Source organism: Homo sapiens, chromosome 10 (assembly GCF_000001405.40).
Source record: "Homo sapiens chromosome 10, GRCh38.p14 Primary Assembly".
Taxonomy (NCBI): domain Eukaryota; kingdom Metazoa; phylum Chordata; class Mammalia; order Primates; family Hominidae; genus Homo; species Homo sapiens.
In genome coordinates, this window is record NC_000010.11 from 124,734,421 (window position 1) to 124,749,487 (window position 15,067).

Genomic DNA, 15,067 nt, shown 5'->3' on the forward strand with positions numbered 1-15,067 from the left:
GACACAGTGGGTGAGGATGACACGCTCCACCTGGCAGATGAGTTCTGTCACATCCATGAGACCAGAGGCAGCCGAGACACCTCAGAGACCTCCCTTATGCAGCCCTCGCTCACAAAGCTTCAGGATCTCATTGTCCTAGCAGGTCTGCTTCAAGGCCACCCATGCCCAGCCACCTTGGTGGGTCCTCTGGAAAGGACGCTCTAGGGCCAGCACCAGAGGGGAGGGGCTGTCACAGTCTGGAGTCAGGGCCCCCTCCCAGAACCTAGTGAACAGCATGAGTCTTCACACTCCATACAAAGGGGTGTCCCTCAAAGCTACCCAAAGTGCAGCAGGAAATCTCATGAGTCAAGACTGTCCATCCTGTTCACCCCACAGGATGCCAGCCAGCCCCAGACTCATGAGGCGCGATGCTCACCAGACCCAGGGAATAGGCGTGTCAGGAGTCAGAGGCCTGCACCAACAGAAGCCAAGCGGCACAGCCTGGACCCTTCCCTCTGTCCTCCAAGCCAAGGGCTCCTTTCAAAGCTTCAGCAAGCTTAGATGAGCTCTTGCTCCTGCAGACTGAGGTCAGGTTCAGGTGGCAAAGGGATCTAGAAGCAGCCGGAATCACACCGCAGGCCGAGCTGGGGGCAGGCGCTCCAGCTGCAACCACATAACCCGCACCCGGAAGACGCTGACTCCAGGTGTCCAAGGCAGCTCCCCCAACGTGAGAGGAAGAACAAAAAACAAAGATGCCCACTGCAAAGCACCTAAAGAGAATCCAGAAGGTGGTAAGTGGGCCCCTCACTCTCAGTCTAGGTAGGTATGCAGCCATTAATTCCTTGGTTTCCAAAGAATTCATTCACAGAAGTGTCGGTGGCAGCAGAGCCAAGACGGTGAGGCCACATCATGACCCATACATGCATTTAACGTTCTATGCTTAGGAGCAAAAGTAAATCACTTTTGGTAAAAAAAGATTTCGTTTCCTAGAGAGAAAACTTAGATTTCACCAGTCTCAACTCTTGGTAACAGACACACTGCAAACTAAACTGTAATGCATACTTTCAACTTTTCCTCCCGAAAAAAACCCTACGCTATCTGAGAGAGGAAGATGCTGGAGGAGAAAAGGCTCTATCCGCCCCAGCCTGACCCGTCCAGCCAAGCCCAACTCCAGTTGAAGTCCCCTCTGCTCTGTCCTGTATCTTGTCATCACTGACTGACCTCCTCAGGGCAACCTGCCTGACTCATGTCCTTCCAGCCTCCCTTCAGTCCTCGCAACAGCACGCGCTTGCCACAGGCTGCGTGAGATACTCACTAATGTCTGGTGGGCTCTAAGTGTCCTCAGGTGTGGTCTCACTCAGGGCCCCGAACCTATGGGCTGGCTGGGGGTGCTGTCAGCACTGCCATACTCCAGAAGAAGGAATGGGGGCCAGAGAGACAGTCGCCTGCTCAAAGGCACATGGCATGGCGGGCAAAGGGCAGACCTAGGATTTGAACCCAGGCTTCTGATTCCAAAGCTGAATGCTACTTTTGCCCTCGATGATACAGAATTGGGTTTCACCTAGACTCTGCCCAAAGTTCCTCTGTGACGCCAAACAGTCCCATTCTTCCTGCAGCCACAAGAAGCACCTAGGTGGCATGCAGCCGACCATGGGCTTTGCAGCAGAACCCCTGCCTGCCCAGTCACACTCATCTCCTACCTGGCACTGCTCTGCAAGGCACTACGCCCATTGCAAGGGGCTTCTCAAACAAGCTCTAAACTGATCTTCCTAAAAACGCTGGGTGGCAGGACCAGCAAGGTGAGAAATCAGAGGCCCAGTGAGGGTTACAGGGCAAATTAGGTCCAGCAAGTAGGCAGTCTGTGCCCACTACCTTCCAGCCAGGAAACTGAATCGTTTGACTGCCAAAGGGATTACAGGGGAGAGCGGTTCCTACGGCCCGGTCCCCAGGATCATGCCACAGAGGGGCTTCCCCGCATCCTGCACTCCTTCTGGAGACTCAAAACCACAGACCTCTTTTCCCCCGGGCTCAGGAGCCAGGCTCCTTCTCCTCACCCAGATCATGGAGACACCCAGCTGCAGAGAACTTAGTCTTTCCACTTCCAAACATGCAGAGAAGCTGCTCCCAGCCAGCGGACAGAACCTCCCTCTGCTCCCAGGCCCATGGCCAAGGCCAATGCCAGAGCAAGGGGAATTCCAGGCAGGGCCGAGGCCTCTCCCAGCTGGGCTTTGTCTGTCAGGGTGCTTCAGGCTTCAGCCAGAGGGCAGCCTGGGAGGGAGGGTGGCCTCCACGGGGTGGGGGCAGGCAGCAGCAACTGGAACCTGCATAAGCCGCCTCTCCTGCACAAGGCACAGTCCAGCTGCCAGGACACACAGCGGCCCCAGACAGGACCTGTACAAACCCAGCTATCCAGGAGCTCGAGGGCCCACCCACGCCCCCTCCTAGAAGCTGCAGCATGGCACCCAGGCAGGAGTTGCCAGGGAACGCCCACTGGGCAATGCACGTGTCTTACAGCAGGAACTCTCCTCCCCTGGTGAGCACTGGATGGAAAAGCAGCAGGGTGTGGTAGAAAGAATACAGGGCTGAGGTCAGCTGGGCCAAGTTCAAATCCCAACCTGGGGTGAGTGATTTCTGCAGGCAGCATGTCTTCAGCAATGAAATCGGGCTAGTCCCTGAGCCACAGGTTGTGCTGAGGATTAAATGAACTAATGAAGCAAAGTGCCCGGCTCCACACTGGACACCCAGCAGATGTCCAATCAATGTCTGCTAAATGAATGTGGAAATTGCAGCCCTGAGAAAAATAGCAATTCTCCTCTTCTCCCTTCACTCGGCCCAAACCCAACTCCCCACAGGGGGAAGAGCCCTTATTCACTACTCACCACCACCACAACACAGCCGGGCAGACTGACACACTTTTGGCAAAGAGGCCAAAACCTTTTTCAGCAAGCTCACCTTTACAAGGTTTCAGCACCTTCCATTGGGACTGGGGGGTGGGGACGGGGGATGGGTAGCATGTTTCACTTGGCTAATGAACTCTGTGAGCAATGATCAAGTTCACCTGCTGGTCTACGCTAAAGCAGGCTGTCTTGCAAGCAGGAATTAAGGTTCCACGTCATGAGAACACAGCAGTAGGGCAGGGACTCAGGAGACAGAGTCTGCACCTTTGACAACTGGCTACGGGACCCTGGGAGAGTCACCTCACCTCTTAAGGATCGGACTTCTCTTCCAGAAGGTTACATCAGCAGGCCCAAGAAGCTCTCACTCTCCAAGCCCCCTGGCCATTCTAAACACAATTCTATGAAATGTAATCCTGAGTATGTTCACAGGAAGACAGGCTCTGAGCTGACAGAGTGACATTCACTGCAAACCTGGGTGAAAAAGACTCACCACTCACTGGGAGTTGCCAGGATATGCCCTGGAACCTAACTGCATCTTTCCTCCCCTGAGCCCCAGGGGCACACGGTATGCCAAATCCCCAGAAAGAACAAGACCACTAGGACTGTGGGGAGGCAGGGCCTGCATGAGAACTGCCCTGAAACCACAGCCTGAGTAAAATCTGCCCCCTTCAATCTGGAAAGAAGGTGGTTCAAAGGGACTGTGCTGAATCTTGGCCCAGCAGAAACAGAAATGACCTCGATGATGCCCACAGCAGACACTTCCCCTAGGGATGGGTGCCCTTCAGATGCCACTTCACCAAGACAGAGCAGCAGCAGCAGCAGCAGCAAATGCCAATAGGTTTGCTCCGCTCCCGAATACGAAAGCCCCCAATCTCCTGCTAAGGAATAGGGAAACTAAGGAACCGACCCGTAGGTATGCATGGGGTCTATTACAGCCCTCACTCCTCAGTCTTGGATGCACAAGAGAATCGACTCAGGAACTTTAAAGATACCAATGCTGGGTTGCTGCCCCCCTCTCCAAGATTGTGATGTAATTGGGCCTGAATGCAGCCTGGGCATCTGGATTTTTTTTTTTTTCCAACCTTCCCAGGTGACTCTAATGTGCAGCCAATATTCAGAACCATTACTTTACTCTAGCTTCTAGAAGTTCAGAGCACAGGGGCCCCAGCACGCTCCTACAAACTCTTCAGGGGCAGAAAGGACAGCATGCCTGGCCAGGCAGGCCTTGCTAGAGATGGGTCTCCTTATTCTTCCTTCAAAACACACGCACACTCACACCCCCCCGAGAAGCAACCTGCAAAGAACCATCTGTCTGAGACAGAATGCAGGGCCGCTGCCCAGCCCTGGCTGGGGCGTACCAAGTTCAGTCACACTGGAGGATATACAATTGTGTTCAGTTACTTGATTACTTTAGGCACGTAAACAAAATATGATATTGTACAGACCTGGAGTGGCAACCACCACATCATAATTTACTTTGAGACATCTGAATTACAAATGCAAAAAGAAAAAAAAGTTGGAAACACTTTTAAGAATCTCTCTGAATGGAAAATGGAATCTGAATAAATGGTGGTGTTTCCAGTGGGCTGCCAGGTTTACTTCCTGTTTCCCCCAGAAGGTCACTGGAAATGTTTTCTTGTGAATCTGCCTTTTCTGAGATTGAAGCAAAACATCTCAGCCTCCCAAACTATGGCACTCACTGCCTTTGGTCCTACAGTACATACAGATTCCAATCACTCCAAAAAACAAAAAAAAAAAAACAAAAAACAAAAAAACACACAGCCATAGCAGAGGGGAGAGGAGGGGAAAAGGCAGTTAAAAGTTCTAGGTTTCTCTGTGGTGTTAACAAGACTAAACAAAATTTCTGCTTTGAGATAAAACAGAACCCAGTGCCTCTATCATATGAACACACAGCAGGGCATATGGAAAGCAACCAGGCTCTGAAGGAATAGAGCTCCTTCCTGGCTTTCTGCCTTCCGGCTATGTGGCCTTGGGCCAGTTACTTGGCCTCTCTGAGCCTCAGCTGTAACTGCAGGTTTGCTTTGAGAATTAGAGAGTGTATACAAAGCCCAGGGCCCAGGGTGGGCCTTCAACAACCAGTGGGTGCTGCCATTATTCTTTGAACAATCTGCACCCATTTCAGCTAAATCCTTGGGAATCATATTATACTAGCGCAGGGGAAGAATCTGTTTCTTTGTTTAACAAGAGAACAAAAAGAGTGAGTGGAGAAGTCAGGAGTTAGCCTGCCACTGCGTTCTGAGGTCAAATGGGCTGTTTACGAACATGATTTGCTTTCACCCTCCTGAGACTGGCACCGTGAAAAAAGTCCTTCCCGAGACTTACAGATGCCCAAGAGGCAATGTGGTCTCCATGATAGTCCAGCGTGGTCTGGCCAAGCTGTCCCCCATCCCCCATGCAAAAGCCAGCTTCCCCGTGCAGCCCCCACAGCAGGAGAGACGGAGAACCATTAAAGCGGGGGTGCCTGTCACACTCCTCTGTAACCCCTGACGTGATGTGAAATTCTACAAGGTAGACCCTTTGAAATGCAAAATCTTCCAGAGTCCTTCAAACGTGTTTTTATTTTCTCGGGTTCCTAAGGCTGCTTTCAGATCCACCCATCAGCATTTCCCCCTCTCAATCAACCCACATTTAACAAAAAAACAAACAAACAAAAAAAACGACAAGAAAAACCCAAGGACGTCTCTATTTTTCAGAAAAGCTCAAGTATCTCCAATCACTGTGAGGGGAAAGAAAATAAAATCTTCAGCTCCAGCCTCCTCGCATCACTCCAAGACACCCAGAAGCCAAGTTTCCTCTGGAAGATTTCCTCCCATCCTAGCCAGCACAGCACTCTGTTGCTCAGGATCTCAGAGAACTTTCTTAGATAAGAATCCGAGTTCTCCCTGACCTAAGTTCGGTGAGGTTAAGACAGGCACCACCAAAACCACAACCCGCAATACACGAAGCCCAAATCTTGCCCCAAAACGCTGTGCACAGGAGGTTTGGATTAAGCATCAAAGAAGTTACCTTAAAACAAAGTTGTTTGGCAAAGAAAAATACTTCACTGTAAGAAGAACCCTAGGGAACGGTAAATTGCTTTTGAATATGGACTTTTCAGTGGCGCAGTCATTAATCATGTTAATGTAAACTGCGCTACAACAAAAATTTTCTAAGCAAGTCTCAGGGTACATCAGCATATCTAAGCCTCTGGGTTTGTTTCCAAAGTTCACATCCAGGCAGGCAATGAAACTGCTGTTAATGGGGTCAGCTATTACAGTGCCGTCCCCAACCTTGAGCCATAATAAAGGTGACTCAGCCATCCAGAAAAAACCCTCAAACTTAGGCAGGAAACAAACAAATTAATCAGAGAAAGAGAGTCAATGATTTTTGGAAAGTGTATCCGTTGGACAAGTTTAAACAGAAACTCTCCCTGGATGATCAGACTGACATTTCAGAAAGGAGTTGAGGGAGAACAATCAACACTCCTCCCAGCACCCAAGTCCCCTGGCCAGACCCTGTTTTGTGGCGTGGAGGGGAGGGTAGCAGCCGGACGAGGCAAGGAGGAGGAGAGTCCAGCAGAGCTAAGCTTCGCTGAGCCCCGCCAGCTCCGGCCATGTGCTTTGTGTTGGCAACGAACCGGTTCTTTCAAAAGAGGAAGAGTCTGACAAAAAGGACAGCTGCAGCAAAGCAGAAGCTGAGGGTAAAAACCTCTCCAAAGCCCTGAGCTCGGGATTCTCCCCTAAAGTTAAATCAAAACACCACTGGGGTTTGCAAGGACTAGTTCATCTATTAGTCTTCCCCTTGCTGGATCAATTAAAGAGAGTCCCTCCACATCTGGTTTCCATCGAAAACCGAAACTTGTATTATCAGCATATTACATAACAAATTATGCCTGCAGGTTTCTTTTATTACACATCAGAGAGGTGTGCGTGGTGGTGGTAATGATGGGGGTTGTGCCGATCTGAGTATTTGCTTATTTCAGTCTTTTTATTTAAGGACAAGAACAGAAGAGTTTTCCATACAATGCGCAATTTAACTGCAGAAAGTCACGCTGCCCAAATAAAACATCAACTGAACAATCTGAAGGTGGGCCCAGAACTCAGTCTTCAGGGCCCAAGGCATCGAGCGGTGGGTGAGAAGAGTGTGCTTTTTAAAAGAGCTCCGCAGCGTCCCCTGCTGCCAGCTCCTAATATTTAAACACAGCTCTCTCCTCTCTGGCCTCCAAAAGGGGAGGAGAGCAGGCTGGCCCTTCCTGAGCTTCAATCAAGGGTCAGGCGCCTGCTCACTGGACCCGCTTAAAGGAACCCAAGCCCACTAGGCTTCTGTAGAGAGGATGGAGAGGCTAGCGGGGCAGTGAGAGAATATATAAGGGGAAAGAGAAAGACTAAAAGATGGAAACAGAAAGAGCCCAGGAAATAATACCAGGACTTCCCATAAAATGTCAATTAAGCGTAACCACCACGGTGACAATAAGGTATCATAAAGCTCTTTCCAAAAGAACTTTGCGTACTTTCAAAATGCTATGTGCAACATACCCCACGTTGAAAAGAGAAGAGGGAAACTGATTTAAAACATTATGAACCAAGACAGTGGAATGCTCTCTACTTTGTCCTGAGAAGACTGGAACATTCAAGTCCACTTCTGCAGCAGTGAGGTTGCTAGTTTCTATTTAAAAACTTGTCTTTGATATCAAAATGACTGCACATGAATCTCACCTTCTCAGAAGAAAATAGGAAGTCGTTGGGCAACATTATTTGAATTTAAATCGCCTCGTTCTCTGAAGGAACGTTTGGAAGAAAAAAATACAGGCCTTCCCCACGCCTCTCCTTAGCTTTTTAACCTGAAAAAGCGCCTGGAAGCTGGATCGGCAGACTCCCAGGTCGCATGATGGGTGACAGCCAAGTGCAGACACAGAGTCAAGGGCTACCAATCCTGAGCCAAACCTTCTCCCACTGAATGGGACTATCAACTGGGACAAGTAGCTGTTTCTGTAGTCCACAGCTAGAGGCGGGGGAGGGGACCCTGTAGACCTGCAATTCAATATCAAAACTGTAACTGACACAAGTTACTCTTAAATAGATAAATTAAAATGAAACAAAAACCTGGCCTAATAAGGAACAGTGAGTTTCACCTGGTCGGCTGACTCCATTCCTTCCCAAGTCCTCAAACCAGGTGGCATCTTTTAAACGAGTCCAGGATCTGGAGCAAGGAGGAATCTCCCTGCCAGCCGGTGGGGACTGCTGGGAACACATATGCTAGCATGTCATTTGGAAGTCTGCTAATATGTTGTAAGCAGCACAAGACGCTTGCCTGGCTTCCCAGGCCAATAAACAATGCCATTCCAACTCCTGCAGCAGTCAATAGGAAACAGTCCCTTTTCTCCACCATCCAACAATTGAACAAACATTTGTTCCTGTTGAACAACCGTCAGCCTGGCTCCATCTGCACCCGCTCCTGCAAGGCGAGCGCGGCGGCGAAGGCGACGGCACAAATGCCCACCCCAGGATCCCAGACCCGGAATGCAAGCCATTCCGGGGGCCACTTTCCTAACACCACCGAGTCCGGAGATTGTACCGTATGGAAGACTCGGAGTGTGGCCTATAGGAGGCAGAATCCCATTCATCAAACGCTGCAAAGAGCTTTTCTTTGTTCACCATCGTCCTAAGTACAGTACGTGTTAATGAGCCCGGGCGGTCAGATGGAAGGAGCTCGGCTTCAGGGGGCGTCCGAACGCGAGGGACCCGGGCAAACCTGTCCGCGCGGTTCGTCGCTGCTGCGGCGCCCCGGCCCGTACTACAAGCATTGTTCCCCAAGTCCGAAAATGGGGGTGGAGAGCTGGGGGCTGGGGGACAAGGTGGGGGGGCGGGGGGAGCGAGAACACACTTGGGACAACACAAACCGCAAACCCTCCCCGGATTCTGGGTGTCCTCGTTTCTTTCGTCTCTGCCCCAAGAGAAACCCTGAGCGGGGAACCTGACTCCCACGGGCTTGCAAAATCCAAGACTAGCAAAAATGTGACTCGACCAGTGTGCCTGTGCCGGACGGCCCTTCTCGCCATGTGCAAAAGCCACGCCGGCGCGGACGCCCCCACTCCGCAAGCCCCAGCGGTGGCCTCCCCGCGGGCTTCCCCCGCCCGGGACAGAATGCCCCCTCACCCCCATCCTGACCGCCCCGGACAGTCCAGCAGCAGCGGAGCCCGCCGCCTCGCTCCCGCACCCCGGGGGTGGCGGGTGCAAACTTCCGCGAACAAAAGAGTTGTCTGCAAACGATGCGGGAACTTCGGGGCGAATGGGGCCGCCCGGCTCCCGAGACTCCGCGCCTCCTCCGCAGCGGCTAGTCAGGGCTCAAGTTGAGACGCGGAGAGGACACCCCCGGGCGCAGCAGTCCCCGCGCCCGCCCGCCCTGGCCTGGGGAGCGCAGACTTTTCCGCCGCAGCCAGGCTTGTTCTTCCCCATGCCTGTGCTCTGACAAGTCTCACGCCTGCATCAGGGGCGAGACCGAGCGCCCGGAGAAACCGCCCGACCCAACCCAAAGGCGAAACAAGGCAGAAAAAAAGGAAACCAGCAACATTAGGAAAAAAGAAAAAAAAAAGGCAAGCCCATTGCGCACGCGAGCCGGGCTCCCTCCAGCCAGCGGCCGGGACGCACACGGCCCGGACCTCGCTCGGGGCCAGCCCCCCGGCCACCGCCGCCGCCGCCCGGCCCCGGGTCGCTTACTGTGCGCGGCGGGGCGCTCCGGGCGCGGACCCCGCGCCGTCACCGCCAGCGCTCGCCAAGTCGTCCGGGGTGCCCGCCGCGCGTCCGCCGCGCGCACGCTCGCCTGCCGGCGCCGAGCGCTTTGTACGAGCGACTCCCGGGGAGGAGGAAATCGACTTGTCACTTCCTGAAGTGTTTGCAACTCGTCCCTTTAACCGGCACCGGCCAGGCCGCCCGCACCCGCCGCCGCCGCGGAGCCGCCAGACCGCGGCTGCGTGAACTCGGCCCGGCGCTTAGCGGGCGGTGTCGCGGGCCCGGGCGCTAGGCGCGGCGGCGGCGTGCAGGAGGCAGGCGGCGTGCGGCGGCGGCGGCAGGCGAGTGTGCAGTGCGCGCAGCCGCCGATGGGCGGGGAGTGAGGGACTCGCGGCGCGCCGCCGGCGGGGCTAGAGGGCGTCCTGCGGGCTCAGCCGCGCGCCGCTCGCCGCGCTCGCGCCTGCGAGGCCCCGGGACGCGGGAAGTGGCCCCGGGCCTGGGCCGCGCCACCGCGGCTGCCCGGGCCCCGCGCCAGAGGCCCTACGGGCTTCTCTCCCCGCCCCCAGCACGAGCCGGGATGAAAACGCTGGGCCGCATAGGCTTCAGGCGTCCAGCTTCCGGGTTGTTAGATGCCGAGGTTCAAAAGAAACGATCACTTCAGTGGCGTGCAGGACAGCGGGCGGGTGGGGTCGGGGAGGGGGGACCTTAAAGTGTTGTCACACTTTGGGAAAATAAAGCGCAAATTTCCTAACTCGGGGCGCTGTGACTGTGTACTTCAGAAGCCACATCCAAAATACATGCAACTGGCGAAGGAAGGATTTGTGGTTGCTAAGCAGAGGCAGAGCATGTTTAGTTCTGTAACTTAGGATGTTGACTTAAGTTCAGGAATGTAACCCTGATAGAATAAGCAGAGTATTTTCATTGTGCTGCTCACCTGGGGGAGGGGGATTGTTTTCCTTGTGAAGCCCTAGATTTCCCATTACTCCTTCCTACTGGTGTATGTTATTTTATTGACCTTGTATCCAAAAAGCGATTTTTAAAGAGAAGTTTTTTTAAAACTCCCTATGCCTGTTTTGTGTTCTCCTTTGCCAAAAAAACAAAACACCTCATTACTTTACATGGATTGTGTCTGCGCCATTTGAATGGTTCTATTCATAAATAAGGAAACTTTTTCTGTTGCTTCTAGGAACATTTAATTGGTTTTAATCCAATGTTTCAATCCCAGTATCAAACATAAATGAACAATTAACTTCTTGAGCTTTGTGTGCTTGGGAAACTATTATATTTCATGGCTATTGCTGAAATATTTCAGAATATCATCACACCGGACCCATTCTTTTCAGAAAAGCATGAACTGACATCTCCTTTCACACTACAGCTCGCTCCACTGAGTTCTGCTGCATGATTAGAATGGACAGCAATCAGTGGAAAGGATATGAGTCTATTCATTTCAAGTTACATGATGTGGGATAGAGTCAGTTCATCCTAGAAAGCCAAAATGAGCTAACATACAGAATACAGCATACTAAGATATTGATATCCTTACCCATATACGTTGCTTTTTAAAAATGCATTAAGGACCAATCTTGAAAGGAACAAGATCCAAGAACCGATGGTGAACAAAAGAAGGCCCAAGGAATAATCTAAGAATGCTGCTATGCTTAACGAAAAGAGTCAGTGTTTCCCTAAAGCCATCTGATATCACACAATCACCTCAGCCTTTCAGAGCTTTAAGGACAGAGTTTAATTTACTAACGTTTTATTAGGAAGCCTAGAGTGACTCCTGCTGGCAAACATTCAGTTTATTCCTACAATTACTAGTTCATCAGGTCAACTTAAAAAACAAGATGCAGGGTCCCAGGCCTGGAAACAATTATTACAACCATTATTCTTGTTGCTTTCAGGATGATTTGCGTTTCACATTCCAAGGATGGTGGTCATGGCCAGTTCCTCTGCTGTAACACCTCCTTTCCAACCTAAAGCAGCCTGTTTTTCTGGTTCTGAGGCTTTCTTGAGGCTGTCTAGAATATACTTGCTTAAGAAGTTATGCTATTAACCAATAAATAGTTACTTCTCATTTTCTAGATTTGTATCTCCAAAGGCTAAAAAGATATGCATACATTAAGACCTGTGTCACACTTAACCTTCCATACTATAGGTTCTTCCCACATGATATAATAATCCTACAGCTATATTATAAAACATCCTCACTTCTTAGTGCTCAGCTCCATAGTTCTTTACTAAGAAAAAATTCTACCCAAAAGGTTGTTGTTATATTAGAGTTCTGCTCAATTCAGAAGAGTAGCTAAAAATGTAGAACTCTAGATTTAAAGCTATGTAAAAGCTGCAATGGGGTGGGGACATGGAGCTAAACTGTCTATCTTTGTTCAATCCAAAATGGTCAAAACCAGATTTTGCACACAACCAGACACCTAAATGCAAATTCATAGGCCAATTTAGGAATAAATCCATAAATAATCTAAAAACTATTACTTGTAACTTTTCCATTATCACCAACCAACGCTAACCTGATTAAGCCGGAGAACACCCTGGGAAATATAAAATGCAGGGATTACTTGCAGTCTTTTACATCAAGACCAATATATGACGGCCCGGCACAGTGGCTCACGCCTGTAATCCCAGCACTTTAGGAGGTCAAGGCGGGCGGATCACTTGAGGTCAGGAGTTTGAGACTAGCCTGGCCAACATGGTGAAACCTCATCTCTATTAAAAATACAAAAATTAGCCAGGCATGGTGGCAGACACCTGTAATCCCAGCTACTCAGGAGTATGAGGCAGGAGAATCGCTTGAACCTGAGAGGCAGAGGTTGCAGTGAGCCAAGATCGCACCACTGCACTCCAGCCTGGGTGACAGAAAAAGACTCCATCTCAAAAAACAAACAAACAAACAAACAAAAAATATATGAAAGCCAGGGATAAAACACAGCAATCCTAGTTCTCCCAAAGGAGGACTACCAAATAGAGGCACACTTGTGTGTAAGGTGTGCAACACATTTCCACTCAAAACTGCCTGGGAGATAGAAATTGAGTATCATTCTATATTAGAGAGCTCCCCTATTACAAGTTTAAAGCTCTTAAGCAACAGGATGACAATAAGGGTGTGTTTTATTAAGGGTGTAACCTACTATAACTTGTATCAACAAGCTAATAAAAGTATTCACCTAAGCACATTTGTGCAGACGAGGGTAAAGGTTGGGTTTTGATATGCACTAAGGAGTGTCTTAGGTAGTTAGTGGGTGTTTTATTTTTATGCCTTTAGAACCAGATAAATGTGACGTTCAAACAAAGAGCTGAGCTTTGAGGCTTGAACAAGTACCAGCAAATGTTCAGTTTTTCCCATCAAATCTATCTGTAGGTATGGTTGTAAAAAGAGCTTACCACTAAAAAATTATAAACTGGTTTGAGAGAATAACATACTATCCTTTTTAGACTAACAAGTGAACTAAACAAACGCCAAACGTTATACACTGGATCCAACAGCAGTATGCAGATGCACGTGTATTCACCCCTTTATTTGGCTTCCAAAAGCCACTGCCTCTTTGTCACAACCCTTGTATTAAAAGCCAGTCATTCACATTTCACACTGTTCTTTCTACATTTGAAAAGATCTTTTTAAAAGCAGAACCTTTTTAAAATTGCTTATAATAAATTATGAGAAGACAGACATCACCAAGTCCACCTTAAGTATTTTCAAAAAGATAGGTGACTGGAAATATGTTAGCAAAATATACTTCTTTGGAAAATATAAGAAGTTTCTGGTTACAGATGGAAATAAAAAATCTGAACCTATCATGGGGGCAATTTTCACGTCTTACTCAGAAAAAAAAGTTCTGTAAATTTTCCCACATCTTTGTCCAGCTACAACTAGTAACCCTACCTACATTAGCATGTAGGGATCACATGACACATTAATCCCTCTGTTCTTTCCTGTCTGTTCTTTTTATCCACTGATGAAAATAAGAAATGAATTATAGCTCTGGCTGGAATCATGCATGTGTGTATATACATACATACATACATACATGAATGATACATATATATACACACACACCTTTTTAAAGAGGTATTTGGTTGCTGAGGACAAAATTACTCTTTGATCCAAGAACTAAATAAAACAATTTATTTTCACTGAAAAATAACCTCAGCAATGAGTTTAATAATACCAATCCCACTCCTTTGATACAAAATAAGAGTTGAAAGCAGCTTGAAGAGGAGTGACTATTGAGATCAGCGCATGTGAAGCCACACAGCTTTGTAACTGACTGTCTAGCACCATTGAGGTACGAAAGCATGCCAGCTGGGCCAGCATTGTGCACCACAAAGTATGGGTTGTGAGCCTAAGTCCTGAACACAAACCCTGCTTTCCAAGTTGGCAGGTGCTGAAAACACAGCAAATGTCACGCTTGCAACTCACTGGAGGGAAGAGTTCTGGTAAAGTAAGCTAAAAAGAACAGAGCAACAGTTAAAACTTATTTCAACTTCATATTTTTTTTTCAAAGTTAATAGTAACTACTGGTATTATGTGCTACAAGAAAACACAAGCATGAATAACAAACATTTAAAAGTTTATGTATGGTAAATAAAAAGCTTTAAAAAAGTGTAAGAAAGGCTTTTCACTATCTACAATCAAAGTAAATGGCATAAGTAAAACTTATTAAGCCTATTTTATTATCCTAATACTAAGGTTCAAAAGCATCTGTTTATGATCTTACATGAAGTAGATGCTAATTATTATCATTATAACATGGTGAGTTCCCTAGTTTGCTTCAGTTACCCCACCAAAAACATATCTAAAAACAAATTACAGTATTTTCATATTGCTATATTATAAATTGCATTTAATCTAGAAAATATTTCAACTGTAGACCAGGCTAAATGTTTATGTTACCATCTTTAAATGAAACCATTTCAACTTTTTTTCTTAAATATTCTTTAGTGGAATTCACATTCAGTATTTGAGATATAAGCTCAAAACTTAATTTTTCTCTTGTCAACTATCTGCCATAAGTCACTGCCTCAAGAAAAATCGATTTTGAATTCATCCCTAGTGATATGCTCAAAGCTACTGCTCTCCTGCCTTTCCCCCTAAAAATGAAACTGAGTAAATTTCATTTTCATTAGGTAGAAAGGAAACTAAAACTAGATACAGTTGGTGATTTCACAGAGCTTAAAAACCCAATCTAAAGGCTGAATCCTTTGGATTTAAAATGTCAAGAAAAGAAATCAGCCTCTAGTTCTAAAAGGCAGAACATTCCTGGGAGCAGTACGAAAAGAACATTTAGCCTACATACTAGCCTGTGAATTTCTTAACTCTCCTCAGCAGTTTGTCAATCTATTATATTAACCAAAAGCAAAGATCTTTTGTTTGAATTCATACCCATGACTGTTCTAAGAGAAGACTAGCCTTGCCGATTTTGTATGTGCGTAACCTGCAGCTATAGG

General features: G+C 48.3%; 1 protein-coding gene across 1 annotated transcript in view, besides 8 other annotated features; it reads right to left on the minus strand.

The window, feature by feature from the left end:
* Positions 1–9,958, minus strand: part of FAM53B (family with sequence similarity 53 member B) — a 125,087-nt gene extending 115,129 nt beyond the window's left edge. The window contains exon 1 of the mRNA NM_014661.4: positions 9,593–9,958. The gene's annotated coding sequence lies outside the window, so the exon portion shown is untranslated. The remainder of the gene's footprint in view (positions 1–9,592) is intronic.
* Positions 6,840–6,959: an enhancer, noted in NCBI's record as "active region_4184". NCBI's record gives its function as "activates an Ori minimal core promoter by ATAC-STARR-seq in GM12878 lymphoblastoid cells {active_cell/tissue: GM12878}" and the evidence as "EXISTENCE:reporter gene assay evidence [ECO:0000049][PMID:35858748]".
* Positions 8,837–8,916: a silencer, noted in NCBI's record as "silent region_2913". NCBI's record gives its function as "represses an Ori minimal core promoter by ATAC-STARR-seq in GM12878 lymphoblastoid cells {active_cell/tissue: GM12878}" and the evidence as "EXISTENCE:reporter gene assay evidence [ECO:0000049][PMID:35858748]".
* Positions 9,007–9,216: a silencer, noted in NCBI's record as "silent region_2914". NCBI's record gives its function as "represses an Ori minimal core promoter by ATAC-STARR-seq in GM12878 lymphoblastoid cells {active_cell/tissue: GM12878}" and the evidence as "EXISTENCE:reporter gene assay evidence [ECO:0000049][PMID:35858748]".
* Positions 9,537–9,696: a silencer, noted in NCBI's record as "silent region_2915". NCBI's record gives its function as "represses an Ori minimal core promoter by ATAC-STARR-seq in GM12878 lymphoblastoid cells {active_cell/tissue: GM12878}" and the evidence as "EXISTENCE:reporter gene assay evidence [ECO:0000049][PMID:35858748]".
* Positions 9,747–9,856: a silencer, noted in NCBI's record as "silent region_2916". NCBI's record gives its function as "represses an Ori minimal core promoter by ATAC-STARR-seq in GM12878 lymphoblastoid cells {active_cell/tissue: GM12878}" and the evidence as "EXISTENCE:reporter gene assay evidence [ECO:0000049][PMID:35858748]".
* Positions 9,877–9,926: a silencer, noted in NCBI's record as "silent region_2917". NCBI's record gives its function as "represses an Ori minimal core promoter by ATAC-STARR-seq in GM12878 lymphoblastoid cells {active_cell/tissue: GM12878}" and the evidence as "EXISTENCE:reporter gene assay evidence [ECO:0000049][PMID:35858748]".
* Positions 10,057–10,196: a silencer, noted in NCBI's record as "silent region_2918". NCBI's record gives its function as "represses an Ori minimal core promoter by ATAC-STARR-seq in GM12878 lymphoblastoid cells {active_cell/tissue: GM12878}" and the evidence as "EXISTENCE:reporter gene assay evidence [ECO:0000049][PMID:35858748]".
* Positions 14,635–14,834: an enhancer, noted in NCBI's record as "active region_4185". NCBI's record gives its function as "activates an Ori minimal core promoter by ATAC-STARR-seq in GM12878 lymphoblastoid cells {active_cell/tissue: GM12878}" and the evidence as "EXISTENCE:reporter gene assay evidence [ECO:0000049][PMID:35858748]".